This window comes from Homo sapiens, chromosome 1 (genome assembly GCF_000001405.40).
Source record: "Homo sapiens chromosome 1, GRCh38.p14 Primary Assembly".
NCBI classification, from domain to species: Eukaryota; Metazoa; Chordata; class Mammalia; order Primates; family Hominidae; genus Homo; species Homo sapiens.
In genome coordinates this window covers 151869161-151891698 of record NC_000001.11, presented here as the reverse complement: position 1 = coordinate 151891698, position 22538 = coordinate 151869161, and the positions used below count along the sequence as shown (strand labels likewise).

Below are 22538 nucleotides of genomic sequence, written 5' to 3'. Positions count from 1 at the left end.
GCCTTATCTTCAGACAGTACACAGCCTCCAAATGCATACATTTAAACATCCTGTTTTCTGATGACAGCATTTTTCCTTTCAGCAGCTTACTTGTTCAAAGGCCCCTCAGAAACAATTGTTATTTCATTAAGACCTTCTGAGTTCATTGAATCCTTTACTTTCTCATGGTCCAATAGCCCTCATCTATCTGAACTTTTGTAGCCCACCTAACCTAGGAAAACCCCAGCCCTGGATGAATCCAACCATCTGCCATCTTTACTTTGAACTGGCTTTCACATAGTTAAGCATTGCTAGAGAAAATCACCCCATCTAGCAGATAAGTTTGGTGATTGTGATTTTTGTAGTTTCATCTCCTGTCTCCATTCTTATCCTCCTCAAAGCCCTTCTTCCACTCAACTGTCAGAATGATTCAAAATGCAAATCTCATCATGTTATTCCAATGCTATTTTCAGTGCTATCCCATTTCTTAAAATACTCTTGCCTTTCAGACTTAAAAATGAATATGAAGCACCTAGGAATCTTGTTAAAATGCAAGTTCTGCTTCAGAAGGTCAGAAGTAGAACCTGAGATTCTGCATTTCCAACAAACTTCTTTCACCATCACAAAGGACAAACACATCCTCTTGAGAGTAGTAGCTTTTGGTCTTTATTTTGAAATGACCTACATTTTAACTCAACCCAGACCTTATTTTTCTCATTTTTATGAAATAAGCTCAAGGTTTGCCAATCTAGACCAGAAATCTCAAACTCCTAAGTAAAACAATTATAAGCACTTAACACCTATCTTATCCTGAAGTCCTGGAATGTCAGAGTTGGAAGAGATCTTAGAGCTCATTTTGTTTTATCTCCTCATTGTATGGATAAAGTGTAGTGCAAAAGAGTGAGTTCTAGGCCAGAGGTAGGCCAATAATTTAATTTTCCCAACTCACGGGCCAAGGTTCTTTCCACTGCACCATAATACTGATCCCCAATTTTAAGGTTCCTTGTCTGTCCTTCTAAACCATCAATTCACTCAACAACTGCTTAAGTGTATATAGTATGTGCACATCTGTGCCATTTGTTGGGTATGCAAAGTCTAAAAGACAGGGTGCCTGCCCTGAGATGCTCATGACCTAATTCAAATGCATCCTTCCTGTCCCTCTCCCCACTTCTCCTGGATCTTCTCATCTGTATCTTTTTCCACGTTTGTAAATATAAATTCAATAGAAATAAACAGTTTTATATATGGCAAATCATGATGAGCTATGAAAGAAAGGTGAGTAGGGGGATTAAATTTTAAAATAGATACAAAAGGATAAATGCACTATTTCTTGAGAGCAATGGCTTTCAATCTTTATTTTGAAGTGACCTATATTTTGATTCAATCCAGTTCCCCCAACTTGCTCACAATTGTGTAAGTGAAAAAAAACTGTGTCTAAACAAGTGCACTATTACTTACCCAGAGTATATGGTTCTGTTAACTAAGTGTTCTGTTTCTTTTTAAAGCCTGGTTAATGGCCGGGCGCTGTGGCTCACGCCTATAATCCCAGCACTTTGGGAGGCCAAGGCAGGCGGATCCCTGAGTTCGGGAGTTCAAGACCAGCCTGACCAACACGGAGAAACCCCGTCTCTACTAAAAATACAGAATTAGTCAGGCGTGGTGGTGGGCGCCTGTAATCCCAGCTACTCAGGAGGCTGAGGCAGGAGAATCGCTTGAACCCGGGAGGCGGAGGTTGCGGTGAGCTGAGATCACGCCATTGCACTACAGCCTGGGCAATAAGAGTGAAACTCTGTCAAAAAAAAAAAAAAAAAAAAAGAAGCCTGGTTACAACCCACAATCTGATTTCATGAACCCTAATGGTTCTCACTGCCAGTTTTGGGGGCTTAGAGTCACAATCACTTGAGTGTTGGGCTGAACTGACCCTGTTGCTGATTCAGACTCAACTCATGTCTGCCAGGGAAACCTCCTTTCTGTTACATTTTTTATTTTCTGTAAATTGCATTTAAACCACAGTTCTTCCAAGAAGGATTTCCGTCTTTACCGTACCATTTTATTCAGTATATTGTTAGCGTTTATATACTATATTCCTGATTGCCATGTGTGGGTACTTCATTTTGATTTCATGTCTGTTTACTCTGTCCCCAGTTGGACTGTTAATTCCACAAGGGCAAAGATCCTATCTTCTGTTTCATTGAGACGCTCCCATTCCTTTCAATTTTGCACCCTGTGGACATTTGAATCAATCATCTATTGACATGTGATTCTAGCAGGGTACAGGTGCTTGGCTCTGCCATGGCATTTCTCTCACCCTTGTTTCTCATTTGCCATCCACCTCATTTTCTATAGACCCAAAGCTTATGAAAGAAGAACAAATGTCACAGGCCCAGCTCTTCACCAGAAGCTTTGATGATGGCCTGGGCTTTGAATACGTGATGTTCTACAATGACATTGAGAAAAGGATGGTTTGCTTATTTCAAGGAGGCCCTTACCTGGAAGGACCACCTGGGTAAGAATGATAGCCTGAAAGTGTGGATCTAAAAGATTTTTATCTTACACTGCCCCCATGTGTCCTGTACATGGACTACAATAAAGATTTTCAAATGGTCACATAGATGTATATTTATTGACATGGAAAGATGTTTATAATACATTATTAAAGGACATCTTATCTATATTATTAATATTGATTAAATATTTTTATATATGAGCATTATAATATTATAGGGCATAGGGCAATAGAGTATAATTTGAGAGCATATCATTAATGTGTTAACAGTGGCTTGTCACTGACTAGGTGGGTAGTATTATGGGTCCTAAATTTTTTTCTTTTTTTTCATATTTGCATTACCTACATTTCTAAACAATGAATATGTATAGTTTGTTTTGTTTTGTGAGACAAGGCCTTGCTCCTTTGCCCAGGCTGAAGTGCAGTGGCATAATCATAGCTCACTGCAGCCTCGAACTCCTGGGCTCAAGCAATCCTCTCACCTCAGTCTCCCGAGTAGCCAGAACTACAGGCACATGACACCACACTTGACTAATAATAAAAACATAATATAAATTTTCTAAATTACATTTTAGCTTTTTGCTTGCTTGCGATCTGGTTACTATTAAGTTCTGGTTTTATTACAAATACTTAAGACTATATTATTATGCTGTGAACAAAACAAAGTTGGGGACATAGATAGTATTTGGCATTCAGTACACTGAACATGGGCTAAGTGGACCTTTCATAAGTAAATAGTGTGAAGATGCTTGGATAATTTTTCTCTTTCAAGAGGCTCTCTATCTTCAGAACTTCTGAAAACATTTCTCCTCCACTCCTGTTGTAACTAGATTCATTCATGGAGGTGCCATTGCAACCATGATTGATGCTACTGTTGGTATGTGTGCAATGATGGCTGGGGGAATCGTCATGACTGCCAATCTCAACATCAATTATAAAAGGTAAATTCACAGTAATTCTCTATTTATCCTTAGGTGTTGTTAAGTCAGGTTCCCAGTTGCAGATCTTGACACCATAATTTGTGTTCAAGTGATTATTAAGGAAGTGCTCCCAGAGGAGACTAGCAAGGGAGTGGGAGAAGCAGGACGGGGAAGATGAAGAAGTGTCAACCAAGGCTGAACTCTCAAAAGTCCAGCAAAGCATAGCTTTAGCCAGATCATACAAGAGAGCTCTAGAATGAAATTTATGCCTCAGAATTGTCTCCATCTCAGATGAGGGAGCTAGAGTCTTTATACTCTCGCATGTATTGGTCATAGGATCAGGGCCATCCCAGGGACCATAAATTTCCAAGTACTTCTAAGGGTCTCTGTGTTTGAGCAAAGCAGACTCTAGAGAAAATAACCAAAACAAGTGAAGAAAGGATCCAAGGGGCTCTGGGTGGAGCACCAACATCTACTACATAACAAAATTAATTTTTTAAAAATTTAGCTGGGCCCAGCAGTGCACGTCTGTAGTCCTAGCTTCTTGAGAGGATTGCTTGAGCCCAGGAGTTCAAGGCTACAGTGAGCTAGGATCATGCCACTGCACTCCAGGGTGGGCAACAAGACCCCAACTGTAAAAAAAACAACAACAACAAAAACACACACACACACACAAAACACCGAGTCTTTTCAGTCCACAGGCACAGATGTCTTTCCATTTATTTGTGTCTTTAATTTTTTTCATCAATGTTTTGTAGTTTTCAGTGTATAAGACTTTTGCTCTTTGGTTAAGTTTATTCCTATGTATTTTATTCTTTTTGATTTTTTTATTTTTAATTTTTTTATTATTATTATTATTATTTTGAGACAAAGTCTCACTTTATTGCTCAGGCTGGAGTGTGGTGGCATGATCTCAGCTCATTGCAACATCCACTTCCCAGGTTCAAGCTATTCTCATGCCTCAGCCTGCCAAGTAGCTGGTATTACAGGCATGCACCACCACAGCTGGCTAATTTTTTGTATTTTCAGTAGAGACAGTGTTTCACTTTGTTGGCCAGGCTGATCTCAAACTCCTGGCCTCAAGTGATCCGCCTGCCTTGGCCTGCCAAAGTGCTGGGATTACAGATGTGAGTCACTGCACCTGGCCTTAATTGTTTTCTTAATTTCCTTTTTGGATTAGTCATTGTTTGTGTATAGAAATGCAACTGCTTTTTCTGTGTTGATTTTACATCTTGCAGCTTTGCTGAATTTGTTTATTCATTCTAACAGGTTTTTGTGGAATCTTTAGGATTTTCTATATACAAAGTCATGTCATTTGTAAACAGATCTTTGTACTTCTTCCTTTCCAATTTGAATACCTTTGATTTCTTTTTCTTGCCTAATTGCTCTGGCTAGGACTTCTAGTACCATGTAGAATAGAAGTGGCAAAAGTGGGCATCCTTGTCTTGTTTCTGATCTTAAATGAAAAGGTTTTAGTCTTTTACCATTCAGCATGATGTTAGTTGTAGGGTTTTCATAAATAGCCTTTATTATGTTGAGAGAGTTTCTTTCTATTCCTAGTTGTGCCTTAGATTTTTAACCTTTAAACCCAGATTGTCATTGTACCTCCTTTTAACAATTTTAATAGCAATTACATTGATTCTAGAGATTAATTTGGGGAAAGTTGACATATTTACAGATGGTCAATATTTCATATTAGTTATAACTATAAATTAGATTCTAGAAATCTGGGTTTTCTTAACATGTTAAAGAATATATTAAAAATTAAATTTTTTATATTTTTCCATGTCCCATGTTTTTAAAAATATTTTTCCATGTTCAAATAAAGTTGAATAATGAAGTATAACATCGTTCCTAAAAAAATAAATGTAAACGGTTACTTTGAAAACAAGCTGAAACAAAGTATTTAGATTGCTGTTTATCTCAAAAAGTGTTTGTGTCTTAAGCACATACTCAAATGCAAAATGGGAAACAGAACCTGCCAAACTCTATGCTTAGTGTTTGTCCCACCCAATAAACCATCCACAAAAATCAGTTGCATTGCTGTTCATTTGTTCCCCACAATTGGAAAACATACTGAAAAGAAGTTTTACCTGAAGTCATATGGATAGAGAGCAATTTAGTCAGAATTAGAACTCACATCTTATGACACCAAATCTGATGCTCTTCACTACAACACACAGCCTCCATTGTCTTCTGTTAGTTGATGACTAAAGACCAGAATAAAGTATTGGATTTTATAAGTAGTTTAGAATTTAATATTTATCACTCTCTGTTTTTTTGTATACAGTTATTTAGGTTCATAATAATAGTAATAATATTAAATTTAATATGATTACTTGACAGTCCTTCAAGATGCTACAGGTAACAACCTGGGATTATATTTTAATTGAAAATAATTTGCAGTGTCAATTAATCATCAGATGCCTTAATCTACCTTACTTCCTTTAAGAAGCAAGATTATTCCTTAATGATTTCAAATAATTTCCAGCCCTCTGATCCAAATATCCCACTTGATTTATTTCCTTGTGCCTAGCACATTAAGATAAATAGACAAAGCAGGTCAAACTAGTGATGACAAGCCAGCTGAAAGGGTAAATATCTCAGCATGCCAATGACCCATTCATGACACATGAGTTGAGAAGCTCCTGATTCGATTTCTTCATGCAACATGGCAAACAAGAAATGCTAAAGGACATTCCTCCTTCAAAACAAGTAGATCCTGTACCAAATACACAAGGAAAGAAACTACCAAGGGTGACTATCAACAGAAACAATAAATAAGATTTAGACCTCAGGGATCTAAGATATGATGATAATCAAATACACAATATAAATGAATAAAGTATGAGATGTTTAAAGAAATAAAAGATGAGGCTGGGCACAGTGGCTCACGCCTGTAATCCCAGCACTTTGGGAGGCCAAGGCGGGTGGATCACCTGAGGTCAGGAGTTCAAGACCACCCTGGTCAACATGGCAAAACCCTGACTTTACTAAAAATACAGAAATTACCCAGGTGTGGTGGCACGTGCCTGTAATCCCAGCTATTTGGGGGGCTGAGGCAGAAGAATCGCTTGAACCTGGGAGATGGAGGCTGCAGTGAGCCAAGATTGTGCCACTGCACTCCAGCCTGGGCAACAGAGCGATACTCCATCAGAAAAATAAATAAATAAATAAATAAATAAATAAATAAATAAATAAATAAATAAAAGATGAAATCACAAAAAGAGAAAACAATGATAAACTATAAAAATTATTAGGCAGGTTTGCCACAGAACCTAATAAAACTTTGAGAAATGAGATTGTAGGCCGGGCATGGTGGCTCACGCCTGTAATCCCAACATTTTGGGAGGCTGAGATGGGCAGATTACAAGGTCAGGAGTTTGAGACTAGCCTGACCAACATGGTGAAACCCCGTCTCTACTAAAAATACAAAAATTAGCTGGGTGTGGTGGTGCGCACCTGTAATCTCAGCTACTTGGGAGGCTGAGGCAGGAGAATCACTTGAACCCAGGAGGCAGAGGTTGCAGTGAGCAGAGATTGCACCATTGTACCCCAGCCTGGGCGACAGAGTGAGACTCCATCTCAAAAAAAACAAAAAAAAAACAAAAAAAAGGAAATGAAAGTGTAATTGTTTAAAAACAAAAAAATACCTCAGTGAATAGGTTAAAGGACTATTTAAACACAGCTGAAAGTGAACAGAAATATAGAACTGAAGAAATTACCCTGATAAGATGGTATGCTGGTAAAGGTCAGAACATTTCCTCTGAATTTGCTAGAAACTCAAAAGCTGTGGAATGTCATTTCTTTCTCTCCATTTTCCTATTATAACTACCCCGCCTTGTGGGCAGTCTATATAGAAAGGTTTCTTTGATACCTGACTGATGTAAGAACAAGAGGGGTAAATGTGAATTCTTATGGATAGATAACACAGGAGTTACTTCTAAATATCACTCCACTGCAAGAATTTAAAAGAAAGCTTTAAAAATACACTCAATAGTTTTCTTGAAAAGGGAAAATGACAATCCCTAGGCTTCTGGGTTTTGTTTGCTTTTTAGAGTTTCGATTGCTTTTCATTCTGTATTTTTTTTAATCAGAAGCTCACATCACTTTAATAATCTTGTGGCACTGTGTTTCTAATTTGTAGCCAACACATTCTGGAAGCTTCTTCCTTCCTTCCTTTATTTATTTATTTATTTATTTATTTATTTATTATTTTGAGACAGAGTCTCACTCTGCCACCCAGGCTGGAGTGCAGTGGCGCAATCTCAGCTCACTGCAACCTCTACCTCCTGGGTTCAAGTGATTCTCCTGCTTTAGCCTCCCAAGTAGCTGGGATTACAGGCATAGGCCACCATACCCGGCTAATTTTTGTATTTTTAGTAGAGACGAGGTTTCACCATGTTGGCCAGGCTGGTCTCAAACTCCTGACCTCAGGTGATCCACCCACCTCAGCCTCCCAAAGTGCTGAGATTACAGGTGTGAGCCATCGTGCCCAGTGCTTGTTCCTTTAAAATGCACAGTTAAGGCCAGGCTACTTGGGAGGCTGAGGCAGGAGAATCGCTTGAACCTGGGAGGTTGCAATGAGCCGAGATCATGCCACTGCACTCCAGCCTGGGCAACAGAGTGAGACTCCATCTCAAAAAAAAAAAAATGCACAATTAAATCCTTTATTTTCACTAACAATTTAGTTAGACATTTTATAATTCTGATATGGTTTGGCTTTGTGTCGCCACCCAAATCTCATCTAGAATTGTAATCCCCATGTGTCAAGGGAGGGACCTGGTGAGAGGTGACTGGATCATGGGGGCAGTTTCCCCCATGCTGTTCTAGTGATAGTGAGTTCTTATGAAATCTGATGGTTTAAAAGTGTTTGGCAGGCTGGGCACCGTGGCTCACGCCTGTAATCCCAGCATTTTGGGAGGCCAAGGTGAGTGGATCACCTGAGATCAGGAGTTCAAGGCCAGCCTGACCAACATGGTGAAACCCCATCTCTACTGAAAATGCAAAAAAAAATTAGCTGGGCATGGTGGTGTATGCCTATAATCCCAGCTACTCAGGAGGCTGAGGCAGGAGAATTGCTTGAACCTGAGAGTTGCAGTGAGCCGAGATTGCGCCAGTGCACTCCAGCCTGGGCAACAGAGCAAGACTCCATCTCGAAAATAAATAAATAAATAAATAAATAAATAAATAAATAAAAGCATTTGACAGATCCCCCCTTGCACTCTCTCTCTCTCTCTCTCCTGCCACCATGTAAGACGTGCCTTGCTTCCCCTTCCCCTTTCCCTTCACCTTTGCCGTGATTGTAAGTCTCTTGAAGCCTCCCCAGCCATGCAGAACTGTGAGTCAATTAAACCTCTTTTCTTTATAAATTACCCAGTCTCAGGTAGTTCTTTATAGTAGCATGAAAATAAACTAATGCAAACTCTCATGATTTTTATAATCTCACAGCCCAGTAAACCTTCAAATCATTTCTCCCTACAAGTTATTTTCCCCTTCCATTGAAATTTAATCAAGAGTTCATTTGTCAGATCCATATGCTCGGTGATGGTGGTGGTGGTTGTATTACTAAAAACACTAAATTAGTCACCAGCTCCATTGTTCTAGTGCGGTGTTGAGATATATCCCATAAATACATCAACATGCCCACCTCAACTAAGTCATTTGGCAGATAAAACAAGCTCAAATGCAAAATGGGAAGTAGAACTTTGAATCAGACTGTTGGGGATTTGAATCCCATGTGTGCCACCAAATAGCCATACAGCTTTAGCAAATTACCTAACCTCTCTGGGCCTCAGTTTCCTCATCCATTAACCAAAGACAATAATACTTTTCTTAAAGAGATATTTTGAGGATCACAGTTAATGTATTCAGAGCTAGCAGCTTAATATGTTAAATGAAGCTTTTTTTTTTTTTTTTTTGAGATGGAGTCTCTCTGTCACCCAGGCTGGAGTCAGTGGTGCAATCTTGGCTCATTCCAACCTCCGCCTCCTGCGTTCAAGCGATTCTCCTGCCTCAGCCTCCTGAGTCGCTGACATTACAGGCACATGCCACCATGCCCGGCTAATTTCTGTATTTTTAGTAAACATGGGTTTTTGCCATGTTGGTCATGCTGGTCTTGAACTCCTGGCCTCATGATCCATCCGCCTCGGCCTCCCAAAGTGCTGGGATTACAGGCGTGAGCCACCATGCCCGGCCTAAATGAAGCTTTTTAATTATTATTTTCAGATCTATGTTTAGCAGAGAGAGAGAGAAAAAAAAAATTACCCTGAATCCAGCACAGAGAAAAAAGGAAATGGGAAATATAGAGAGCATAAGCTATAGTGGACAAATAAAAAGATCTAACATGCTCTAATTAGAGTCCTAGAAAAATAGAATAAAGAGAATTGAAGAGATCCAGTATTTAAGGAAATAATGGGTCAGCATATTCAAGAGCTAAAGAAAATCATGAATTGACAATATAGAAAGCAATCTATATCAAGCTAGGTTTTAAAAGTATATCTAGAGACATTATAGAGAAATTGGAGAATACTTAAGACAAAGAGATCTTAAAAGCAGAGCTAAGATAGAGCAGCCATTACAAAGCAGTCTTGCTTTTTAGAAGCAAGAGGGCACCATTACACTGGCAGTAAACCTCTCAATAGCAACAGTAGAAGCCAGAAGACAATAAAACATCTGCCAAAAGAAAATGTCGATCTAAAATCATGCTCTCAGCAAAGCTAAAGTTCAAAAATGAGCGCAAAATGAAGGTGCTGTCATTCAAACAAATGGAGAGAATTTATGGAACAGCAGGACAACACCCAGGGAGCTCCTAAATGGTGGACTTTAGAAAGAAGGAAAGCAATCCCAACAGGTGGGAGGATGAAAGGAGGAATCATGAGCAAATTAATTGGTAAACATGTAGATAACTAAAATCTAAATAGAGTCTATAAGTAATATTGATGTCTAAATTCTGAGGATTGGTGTGTTGCAGTGGCTCATGCCTGTGGTCCTAGCTACTTGGGAGGTTGATGCAAGAAGATCGCTAGAGCCCAAGAGTTCAAGGTTGCAGTAAGCTATGATTGCGCCACTGCACTCCAGCCTGGGGGACAGACTGAGAACCCATCTCTAAAAATAATAAAAATAAAAATTTACAATAAATAAATTATAGTGATTAACAAAAGGACAGCTAAAATACTGGATAACAATAGCATGTAGTTTGGGAGGAGATGAACAGAGTTAATGTTGATACATCCTCATATTTTTCAGTGGAGAGAATGATTAAAATAAGAGAAAATGAGTGTATAACTAATATCTAAAACAATACAAGATCAAACAAGTAGTAAAACTCAATTTTTAAAAAGGCAAGGAAAAAAAGAGGGTTAGAAAAAGCGAGTCAAATAATAAGCCAAAATAAGATGATAGAAATAAGTCTAAATAAATCAGTAATGACTCTCTATAAATAGACCAAACCATCAGTTCAAAGACAGATTATAATATTGAATTTTTAAAAGTAAAAAACTAGAAACTATATGAGACATATTTTTGAAATGACACCAAAAAGTTTAAAAGGAAGAGAAAATATGCTACACAAAAGTTAACCAGAAGAAAACTGGGATCAGAAAAAATAATGAACTGTCAAAAAAGTAATATTGGGGATAGAGAAGGCTACTTCATAGTAATAAAAGATTCAGTTCAATAGTAGGTAATAATAACTAAATCAATATGCGTCTAATAAAGAGTATAAATTAAATTGATATAATCATAGGGAGAAGTTGACTAGCCCACCTTTATATAGTGGGAGATTCCAACACATTGTTCTCAATTTTTTTTTTTCAAGACAGAGTCTCGCTCTGTCACCCAGGCTGGAGTGCAGTGGCGCGAGCTCAGCTTATGGCAACCTCCGCCTGCTGGATTCAAGCAATTCTCCTGTCTCAGCCTCCCAAGTAGCTGGGACTACAGGCACCCACCACCATGCCTGGCTAATTTTTTTCTATTTTTAGTAGAGACAGGGTTTCACCATGCTGACCAGGCTGCTCTCGAATTCCTGACCTCGTGATCCGCCCACCTCGGACTCCCAAAGTGCTAGGATTACAGGTGTGACACAGCACCCAGCCTGTTCTCAATTATTGATAGGTCAAGCAGACAAAAAAAAAAAATCAGAGCCAAGTGAGGTGGTGCACATCTATAGTCCCAGCTATTTGGGAGGCTGAGGCAGGAGGATTGCTTTAGTCCAGGGGTTCAAGGCTGCAATGCACTATGATAACTCCTGTGAATAGCCACTGAACTGCAGCCTGAGCAACATACTGAGACCCTGTCTCCAAAAAAAAGAAAAAACAATTAGAAAATGGAGGATTTAGGCCAGGCACGGTGGCTCAAGCCTGTAATCTCAGCACCTTGGGAGGCCAAGGTGGGTGGATCATGAGGTCAGGAGATTGAGACCATCCTGGCTAACATGGTGAAACCCCATCTCTACTAAAAATACAAAAACTTAGCTGGGCATGGTGGCATGTGCCTGTAATCCCAGCTACTTGGGAGGCCGAGGCAGGAGAATCGCTTGAACCCAGGAGGCGGAGGTTGCAGTGAACCAAGATCGCGCCACTGCACTCCAACCTGGGTGACAGAACAAGACTCCATCTCAAAAAAAAAAAAAAAGAAAAGAAAAGAAAGAAAGAAAATGGAGAATTTAAACATCACAAGATAACAAGTATGGTTTATTAGACAAACATAGAACTCTGCATCCAATAATTAGAAAACAGCACACTTTCTTTTTCCCAGCACACATTTGCAAAAATTGATCATGTATTGGCTTATAAATTAAGTCTTAATAGATTTTACAGAACCAGAACCTTACAAGCCAATGTTCTGGCCACATTGAATTTGAGGTTAAAAAAAAAAAAAGAACTTTTTAAAAAAAATCTATAGTAAATTAGAGTAACATTAGCTAGTGTAACTCCTACATTTCACTACTTTAAACCTATAGGCTTTTTTGGTTTACCTAATAGTCTCATGTGGTTATCCTGGTCAGTGAGGGTAACCCCATGAAGTGATTGAGAGACCCAGTCTCGTTTCAGAGTGAGACTCCTCCTTCCGCTTAGTGCCTCAGTGTCTTCTTTATTCAACTATTCAGGCTTTCTAATCATTTTCTTAGTTTTAATAAATTTTTGAAATTTTTTTCTATTTCATCTGCATTTTCAAATGTATTGACATAAAGTTATTCATAATATTCACAATATTCTCAATTTTTAAAAAATTTCAGCTAAATCTATATCCTTTTTGGCCCCAATAGTATTTATGTATGCTCTCTCTCATTGTCTTGATCTGTCTTGCCAGAAATTATTAGTCTTTTCAAAGAGTTATCTTTTGGCTTTGTTATGCCTTTCCAGTGTGTGTGTGTGTGTGTGTGTGTGTGTGTGTGTGTGTATAGACATATACAAATATAATAAAACAAATTTTTTTATTTTTAAATGCTGCTTTTATCTTTGTTATCACTTTTCTGCCTCTAATACAAATCTAATTAAGTGTTCTAGCTAAACGAAGGAAAACAAGCTAAAGCCAGTTTCCTGTGCCAACCAAACTGATCTGTGCCTAAATATTAGTTACATTTAGAAAATTACACTGTATAGTTGTTGCATTATTTTGTATTTTCTGAAACATTTTCTGTTAGTCTCTTTACTAATCTAGGACTTTCTGTTACAAGGGCAACTCTTAACTCTCACTAGCTTAAGCAAAAAAGGGAATATATTGGCTTGTATGGTTGAGAAGTCAGGTGTGGCTGAGTGCAGATATTCAGTGATGTCATTAGGAATCTCAGCCACATTTTCTTCTAGATCTGCTTCATCCTTACGTAGCCTTTCCCAGTGTAGTGGCACAATGGCCACCAGCCAGGCCAGCCAGGCTTATGTCTTGTAAGCCTAGCGCCTCAGAGAAAAAGAACCCAGCCCCAAGGGCTACAGCACAAGTTCCAGGATTGACTATTTCAGCCTGTGCCCACCCCCACAACTGGTCACTATGTGTGTGTGGAGTGGAGGGATCATTATTCAATGCCAGTCAACCTACATGGGCTAAGAATGAGGGAGAGGTGGTTCCCTGACAAAAGGGGTACATGAGTATATCAAAGAGAGAGATATGAAGAGAATGAAGGGAGGGTAGGGGATGGATAAATGAAGAGAGTCATGTTAGTAGAAAAGGGAGTTGCTGGGCAGGCGAGAACACCTAATGTCCCCTGGGTCTTAGTAAATGTTGAATTGACTCAACAAAAGAGCAAAGGAAAAGCTAATGGGAGTGGAAGTATTAAAAGTTCATTGAAAGGAAAACTGGGCAGAGAGATCATCACAGTGATAACTTCCTTTCTACCTGGGGTAGTTCCATCATCTGCTTGGTAGTACCATAGGAGCACGAAACACGTTTCCGTGCTCTACCTTCTGTTTCAACCAACTGAAATTTCACTTTTAAAGAGATATCCTTTCATTGTGATATGTTTCTCCAGGATTCCCAGAAACGTCTGTAGCCACTAGTCACATGTAGCTATTTAAAGTTAAGTATAAATTAATTCAAATTAAATAAATTTAAGGACTCAACTTCTCAGTTATGCTAGCCACATTTCAAGTGCTCATTAGGCACATGTGGCTACCAGGTTGGACAGCTCAGATATGGAACATTTGTATCATCACAGAAAGTTCTATTGGACAGTACTGACTTAGAGCAGTAAGCTGTTATCAGCAATTTGTTGTTATTAGGTGTCTTTCTAGTGACCATTACTCAGAATTGAATGAGAAATGTTGATTATGACAGAAGAAATGAGAGAAGCTGCCTGGGACCATCTGTTGGCCCTATTTTCACTTCTTTAAAGCATTTCAGCTCCCTTAGGACTTTGCAGTGGATCTCCAGATGGGATAGTCTCTGCCATCACAGAGCTGGAATTCCTGATGATCCCTTTGAAACAAGCCCAGAGAGACATCCAGGGACTGTAGCCCAGGAGCCACCTGAGAGCAGTGGTGCTTGGGAGAGGGGGAGCTTGAGAGGCTGTTGGTGTCAGAGTCCTTGAGGAATGTATTGTCTAAGGCAGTCAGTGCTCATTGTTGTCAGGTGTCATAAATTTCTATCCCTTGTCATGTACTTGATCATCTTTTAATGTTATATAAGTCAGATAAAAACTGATTTTTTTCCTTTTTCATTTTATTCTGCAGACCTATCCCTCTTTGTTCTGTTGTTATGATAAATAGCCAACTTGATAAAGTTGAAGGAAGGAAATTTTTTGTTTCCTGTAATGTTCAGAGTGTTGATGAGAAGACCCTATACTCAGAGGCGACAAGTAAGAAGCTGGTCTTATCTCTTTCTTGGGGTTTAGTTGGGTTGGGTTGGGAGTTTTGGTTGGTTGGTTGGTTGGTTGATTTGGGTTTTGTGGGGGTCAGGGGGGTGTTTTGGTTTGGTTTGGTTTTTTGCCCTGGTATTATAACCCATACATGCCAAAAAATTCTTAATTCCCTGTCATACAAAGAACAAGTTAAAGATATTCTTATACATTGCTAGTAAAGGGCAAGTTGCCAACAGCTATCAAAATTACAGCCCAATGCATAAGCTCATGCCTGTAGTCCCCGCACTTTGGTAGGCTAAGGTGGGAGGATCACTTGAGCCCAGGAGTTCGAGACCAGCCTTGGCAACATGGCAAGACCCCATCTCTACAAAAAATACAAAAAATTAGCGGGGCATGGTAGTGTGCGCCTGTAGTCCCAGCTACTTGGGAGGCTGAGATGGGAGGCTCCCTTGAACCCAGGAGACAGAGGTTGCAGTGAGCTGAGATCGCACCTCTGCACTCCAGCCTGGGTGACAGAGCCAGACCCTGTCTCAAAAAAAAAAAAAAAATTTACAAAGTGATATGCCCTTTGACCCACCTCCAGGACTTTATCTCACAGGTATAATAACTGCAAAATTATAATGTGTTAGATTGCTATCGGGTTCCAGTGATTGTGTCACTCATGCAACATTATTTGCAATAGCAAGAAAAATGGCAAAACGTAGCAAACATAGCTATCCATCAATAGGAGACTGGTTAAAGAACTACAGCTCACCTATGAACTATATTGTATGTGTGTGCCATTAAAAAATGGTGAAATATTGTGATACCATAAATAAGAAAAATATGTCTATATTTATGTGTGTGTAGACTGTCTCAGGAAAGTCACACACATGACCTGTTACTTCCCTGGAGTACTGAGGTTCATCCATGTTGTTGGCTGTGTTCACTTGTTTGTACCACTGTGTAATACTCCATATGTGACTGTCCCACAATGAATGTCTCTCTTCCAGTGACAGGCCTCTGACTATTACAAATGGGGCTGCTATAAACATTCTTGTTCATGTCTCCTGGTGGTGTGCATGGGCAAGAGCTTGGCATATACTTAGGAACAGAATTTCTGGGTGGTAGAGTATTGTGAGTATTCAGCTTTACAGAGGAATGCAAAATTGTTTTCTAAGCCTGTACCAAATTAAACTCCCACCAGCAATATATGAGATTCTTTAGATTCCCATCTTCTCTAGCAATTAGTGAAGTCAGACTTCATGATTTTTGCCAGTCAAATGACTATAAAATGACTTCTCGGTGTGATCTTGATTTGCATTTCTCTGATTACCTGTGTGGTTGAGTGTCTCTTCATATGTTTATTGACCATATTTTTTCCCATTCTGTGAAATTTTTGTTTGTTCAGCTTTTTTTCCATTTGTTCTCATTTTCTTACTGATTTATAGATGTTCTTTATATATTTTCTATTAGAACAATTTTTTGTTGGATATATAAGTTGCACATACCTCCTTACAGTGTGTAAGTTGTCTTTTATTTGCTTTAAGGTATCTTCTTTATGAACAGAAATTTTTAATGTCAATTTAGTTGCATTTATTACATTTTTCCCTTTATGGCTAATTTTTTTGTATCTTGTTTAAGAAATTTATTTTTCCTCTTAAGTATGAAGCATTTGCAGGAATGATGGATTTAAGGAGCAGGTGGAAGATAATAACTTAAATCCACAGTCAATTTAAGAACTCCATTCCAGGCTGTGGTTTGTACTTCCTGTCTCACTAAACCTTTCAATATCATAAAGGTGCCAGATGGCTCACTTGTAATTTTAGTTCTTTTCATTTCTAATGGAAGTAGTGAGGAACCATGAAATGGCCAAGTGGTGAGGACCTGGTTACCCAGGGAGAAGTAATACAGTATTGTGATAGTCAAAAGCTGATTCTTAATTTGGCTGAAAAATGAGAGTGGACAGATAGACTGAAGCTACAAATGTGAATCAAATCCTTCTTTTGTATATGTCTTTCTATTTAGAGTAGTCCATCAAATTGAAGTCAGTTGACATATAATCATCTGCTGTTATTTTGTTTGTTTAGGCTTATTTATAAAGCTGAATCCTGCTAAAAGTCTGACATAAAGAGCTGCTGGTGAACTCCATCTCATTCTCGCCCCTCCAGAAGAAGCAGTTGTCCCCCAAATACTCTGCTCCCTCACTGCTGAATCCCTGTAGGGAGAAGCCTGCCAACAGTGACCTTCCGAAACAGCCTTCTGAATACAAAGAGGATTCAGTTTCCATCTTCTCAACTTTTTAACACAGAAATACTTCCTGCGAGCATATCGACAACTCTCGGGCCAGGCGCTGTGGCTCACACCTATAATCCCAGCACTTTAGGAGGCCGAGGCAGGCGGATTGCCTGAGCTCAGGAGTTCAAGATCAGTCTGGGCAACACGATGAAACTCCGTCTCTACTAAAATACAAAAAATTATCCAGGCATGGTGGCGTACGCCTGTAGTCCCAGCTACTCAGGAGGCTGAGGCAGGAGAATTGCTTGAACCCAGGAGGAAGAGGTTGCAGTGAGCCAAGATCATGCCACATCACTCCAACCTGGGCAACAGAACAAGAACCCATCTCAAACAAACAAACAAACAAAAAAAAAAAACTCTTGTCTCCTTAGGATATGTTACCTGCTCCACTGCAGACTAGAGAAATAAATGTGTATTGAACCTTTTACTGCAAACTTGAAAATGCTAGAAAACCAAGCATGAAGAATAAATACATGGTGGGAAACACACAGGCATGTGCATATGCATATACATTGTAAGTTAGTAAGTTAGAAAGCTAGCTTTGTTGTATCTGAACACATGAATCTTTTTTGGTCAGTGTAGGAAGCACAGCCAGATCCTATAGGAATGAATACCTCAAATCTGTTGTCTGAGATTCTAGAGATTAAACCACTGTGCCATTTTTAACCCAGGCTGTACTGTTGTTTCTTACCAACAGCATAGGTTTTCATCACTGGAAGGAGCCTGTGTTCATTTCCTAGGGCTGCTGTAGCAAAGTAGTACAAACTGGATTGTTTAAACCAACAAAAACTCATTGTCTCTCAGTTCTGGAGGCCAGAAGTTCAAAATCAAGGTGTTGACCAAGGCCATTCTCCTGAAAGTGCTAGGGAAGGAGCTGTCCACGCCTCCCTCCTGGCTTCTGGGAGCCTCAGGTGTTCCTTGGCTTCTAGATGCATCATTCCAGTCCTCCATCTTCACATGGCATTCCCTCTGTGTGTCTCCACAGTGTCTTCCCTCTGTGCAGATCTATCTCTGTGTCCAAGTCTCCTCTTTTTATAAGGAAACCAGTCATAATGGACCCACCTGAATGACCTCATTTTAACTTGATTACCTCTGTAAAAAATGTATTTCCAAATAAAGTGACCTTATGAGGTATTGGAGATTAGGACCACAACATACCTTTTTTGGGAGGACACAATTCAACCTGTAAAAGAGCCTCAACAAAACTAAAAAATGAACGGAGAGTTGAAGGGGGCCAGCCCCTCCACACCTGTGGGTGTTTCTCATCAGGTGGGATGAGAGACTGAGAAAAGAAATAAGGCACAGAGACAAAGTATAAAGAAAGAACCCTGGGCCCAGGGGACCGGTGCTCAGCATACAGAGGACCCGCACCGGCCCCAGTCTCAGCTCTCTCAGTATTTATTGATTACTGTTTTCACTATCTCGGCAAGGGGAATGCAGCAGGAGAACAGGGTGATAGTGGGGAGAAGGTCAGCAGGAAAATCTGTGAGCAAAGGAATCTGTGTTACAAATAAGTTCAAGGGAAGGTACTATGCCCAGATGTGTACGTAGGCCAGATTTATGCTTCTCTCCACCCAAACATCTCAGTGTAGCAAAGAGTAACAGCAGCATTGCCGCCAGCGTATCTTGGCTCCAGCCACAGGGTGGTTTTCTCCTATCTCAGAATGGAACGAACATAGGATCGGGTTTTACACCAAGACATGCTGTTCCCAGGGGCATGCAGGAGACAGAGGCCTTCCTCATCTCAACCACAAGAGGCCTTCCTCTTTTACTAATCCCCCTCAGCACAGACCCTTTGCGGGTGTCGGGCTGGGGGATGGTCAGGTCTTTCCCTTCCCGGGAGGCCATATCTCAGGCTGTCTCAGTGGGGGGAAACCTTGGACAATACCCAGGCTTTCTTGGGCAGAGGTCCCTGCGGCTTTCCACAGTGCATTTTGCCCCTGGTTAATTGAGAATGGAGAATGGCGATGACTTTTACCAAGCATACTGCCTGTAAACATACTGTTAATGAGGCACGTCCTGCACAGTCCTAGATCCCTTAAACCTTGATTCCATACAGCACATGTTTCTGTAAGCACAGGGTTGGGGCTAAAGTTACAGATTAACAGCATCTCAAGGCAAAGCAATTTTCTTAGAACAGATCAAAATGGAATTTCTCATGTCTTCCTTTCTACATAGACACAGTAACAGTCTGATCTCTCTTTTCCCTACAGAGACTAATGTTCTGGAAAATATATTCTGCTTCCTAGTGCAGGCAATAGATTATTTGGGCTTCCATTTCTTTCCTTTCTTTCCCCATATTAGAAATTTAAGCTGAACCATATGAAATCACTATTTCGAAGAACAGAATGGTCAAATATTGACAATTTCCTATGGTTCAACCTAATAACTTAGGGACAGCCTTGTGGTACCCTACCCAGTCATCCTTCCACAGCCAAAAGATCAGCTGGAGCCCTCCATTGCCAGAGCTGACTGACCTGGGATGGCCAAGCCAGAGGAAGACCCACATCCTGGAAGCCCTGTCTCTAGTGCCCAACTCCAGTTCTCAAGTTGCAAGGGCCCAGCAGACATGGGGGCACTGCAGGGGTGAAGCTGGCAGTTCCTTCTCCCAGAAATTCTGAGAGAGCCTGGGAAAGTGCCCCAGGAGATGGCTGGGCTCACAGCTCTACAAGTTACAGGTCTGGCAATGGCCACCCTCTATTCCCAGTCTTCCAACAAATCCTGAAACTTAAGAGAGTGGACTCTTACAATAATTATATTTCACATGTTAAAAAATATGACTCCGAAGGAATAAGCCAGCGCTGCTCATTTAGCTAGTTTCACTTAACTAGTTGGGAGGAAGTTTAGACAATGAAGGTACTGTACTCTCATCGTTAGATTTCTCTGGCAGGCTTGCAGAACTGCTATGGCACACCAGACCTCCAGCCAAGTGAAAGAACCTAACTGAAAGAGTGCCAAATGACCAGGTTTTCTTCATGTTAAGTATGCCTGCCTCCCTTCGTATCCACTTTTTTCCCTTTACAGTTTCATTTCTTACACTGGTTTGCTCACATCCAGGTTAGATGCTGCACAAGATCAACTAAGGAAAAAGCTCAGTCACTGTTAACATAGGGTTCCCCATAGCCAGTGAGGGAAAAATGGCTTCCCTGCTTTGCAGCAGACTATTCCTAGCCTTCACCATGCCCTGGCACTCTTGCTTTCCTCAGGTTGTATTTTGACAAGTATGTAAGATAACAAAAGGTGGCAGAACAGGTAGAAAGAAGGAGAGAGATGCTATCAGAATTGCCAGCTCCACTCCATCACTGGCTTGCTGTGTGACCTAATGGAACTATTCCTCATTTCCTGTTTCCTTCTTTTTCCTTTCTTTTTTCTTTTTCTTTTTTTTTTTTTTTTTTCAAGACAGGGTCTGGCTCTGTCGCCTGGGCTGGAATGCAGAGACACAATCTCAGCTCAATGCAACCTCCACCTCCCAGGTTCAAGCGATTCTCCTGCCTCAGCCTCCCAAGTAGCTGGGACTATAGGCATACACCACCAAACCCAGCTAATTTTTGTATTGTTTGTAGAGACAGGGTTTTGCCATGTTGCCCAGTCTGGTCTCAAACTCCTGGGCTCAAGTGATCTGCCCACCTCAGCCTGCCAAAGTACTGGGATTACAGGCATGAGCCACCTTGCTCAACCTGTTTCCTTCTTTATACCAAGTGCTAACATTTTGAATGAATATTAGGAATTGATGCTGGTTAGTGCTAAAATATCTTTAAACTATCAGTGTAAACATAATTAGGCCGTGAGTTTTTGCTCTTACTCCCAGGTTTCTAAATGTCTAAGAAACAATAAAATGAGAGTCATGTACAGAAATATATTGTTGGAAGAATTTTTTCAAAAAGCAAAATAAGATTAAGTTTTTTCTCTAATGGGAAGATGGAATGAAATATATAAGTTAAGAAAAACCTTTTCTTCTGTATTAAGGAAGCTCATATCCTACATGTTCCTATGTTCCCTATCCCATTACCTTCTCAGGACGCTTAACCTCTTCTGGGGACTTATGAAGCCAAATTATTGTCTTACCTAATGGATGACCATCATGGGACCCTAGTCAAACATATTTTTCAGGACCAAGTATACAACATCCTCTGTGATGGAGACAATGAGGCAATCTTTCAAATTTAAGTCACTAAAGTCATGAATTTTATGTCTCAGAAAAGTTTGAAATTTCACTTGATAGTATTCTTGGTCTGGCACTACTCTGGCCAGTTTAGAATTACAGAATTGGTTTATTCCTTCTCAATTATAGATTTAAAATTAAGTGGACTGCAGACAAAGATACCATAAGAGGAAAAAAAAAGTCAAAACTACAGATCAATATCCCTTACGAGTATAGATGCAAAAATACTCAACAAGATAACAAGCAAATCCAATAGCACATTAAAAAGATTATATGCTATGACCAAGTGAGATTTATCCCAGAAAGGCAGAGGTGGTTCAACATAAGAAAATAAATCAATGTAATACACCACATTTATACTTCAAGAGAGTAAAACCACATGATCATCTCAATTGGTGCAAGGAATGGCATTTGACAAAATCCAACACCCTTTCATGACAAAAAGCACTCAGAAAACTAGGAATAGAAAAAGACTACCTGAACATAATCTAGAAAAATGCACAGCTGGTATCACACTCAGTGATAAAAGACAGAAAGCTTTCCCCTAACGTTAGGAAAAAGGTAAGGATTTCCACCTTCACTACTGCTATTCAATATAGTACTGGAAGTCTTACCCAGAGGAATTAAGCAAGAAAAACAAAAACAGCTTGCAAATTAGAAAGGAAGATGTAAAATTATCTCTATTTGCAGATGACATGTCTACATATAGAAAATCCCAAAGAATTCACCAAAAAAACAAAACTAGCACTAATAAATAAATTCAGCAAAATTGCAGGGTACAAAACTTCATTGGCTGGGTGCGGTGGCTCAAGCCTGTAATCCCAGCACTTTGGGAGGCCGAGGCAGGCGGATCACAAGGTCAGGAGATCGAGACCATCCTGGCTGACATGGTGAAACCCCATCTTTACTAAAAATACAAAAAATTAGCCAGGCATGGTGGCGGGTGCCTGTAGTCCCAGCTACTCAGGAGGCTGAGGCAGGAGAATGGCATGAACCCGGGAGGCGGAGCTTGCAGTGAGCCGAGATTGCGCCACTGCACTCTAGCCTGGGCGACAGAGCAAGACTCCATCTCAAAAAAAAAAAAAAAAAATTCATCTTTTGTGCATTAAAGAATAATATCAGTGAAGTGAAAAAAAATCCCTACAGAATGGGAAAAATATTTGCAAATTATATATCCAAAAAGGTGTTCGCATTCAGAATATATAAGGAATTCTTACAACTCAACAACAAAGAACCCAGTTTAAAAATGGGGGAAGAACTTGAATGGACATTTCTCCAAAGAAGATATGGAAATGGAAATGGCTAACAAGTATATGAAAAGAGCCTCAACATCACTAATCATTAGAAAAATGCAAATCAAAACCACAATGACCACACCTACTAAAATGCCTATAATTT

The 22538-nt window shown here is 39.9% G+C and overlaps 1 protein-coding gene across 1 annotated transcript in view; it reads left to right on the top strand.

The window, feature by feature from the left end:
* The window catches only part of THEM4 (thioesterase superfamily member 4), a 38646-nt gene extending 17813 nt beyond the window's left edge, over positions 1 to 20833 (top strand). The window contains exons 3-6 of the mRNA NM_053055.5: positions 2326 to 2485; positions 3316 to 3426; positions 14574 to 14698; positions 16771 to 20833. Of these exons, the coding sequence (NP_444283.2) occupies positions 2326 to 2485; positions 3316 to 3426; positions 14574 to 14698; positions 16771 to 16811 (437 nt within the window). The 3' untranslated portion in view covers positions 16812 to 20833. The remainder of the gene's footprint in view (positions 1 to 2325; positions 2486 to 3315; positions 3427 to 14573; positions 14699 to 16770) is intronic.
* Positions 20834 to 22538: the final 1705 nt, after the last annotated feature.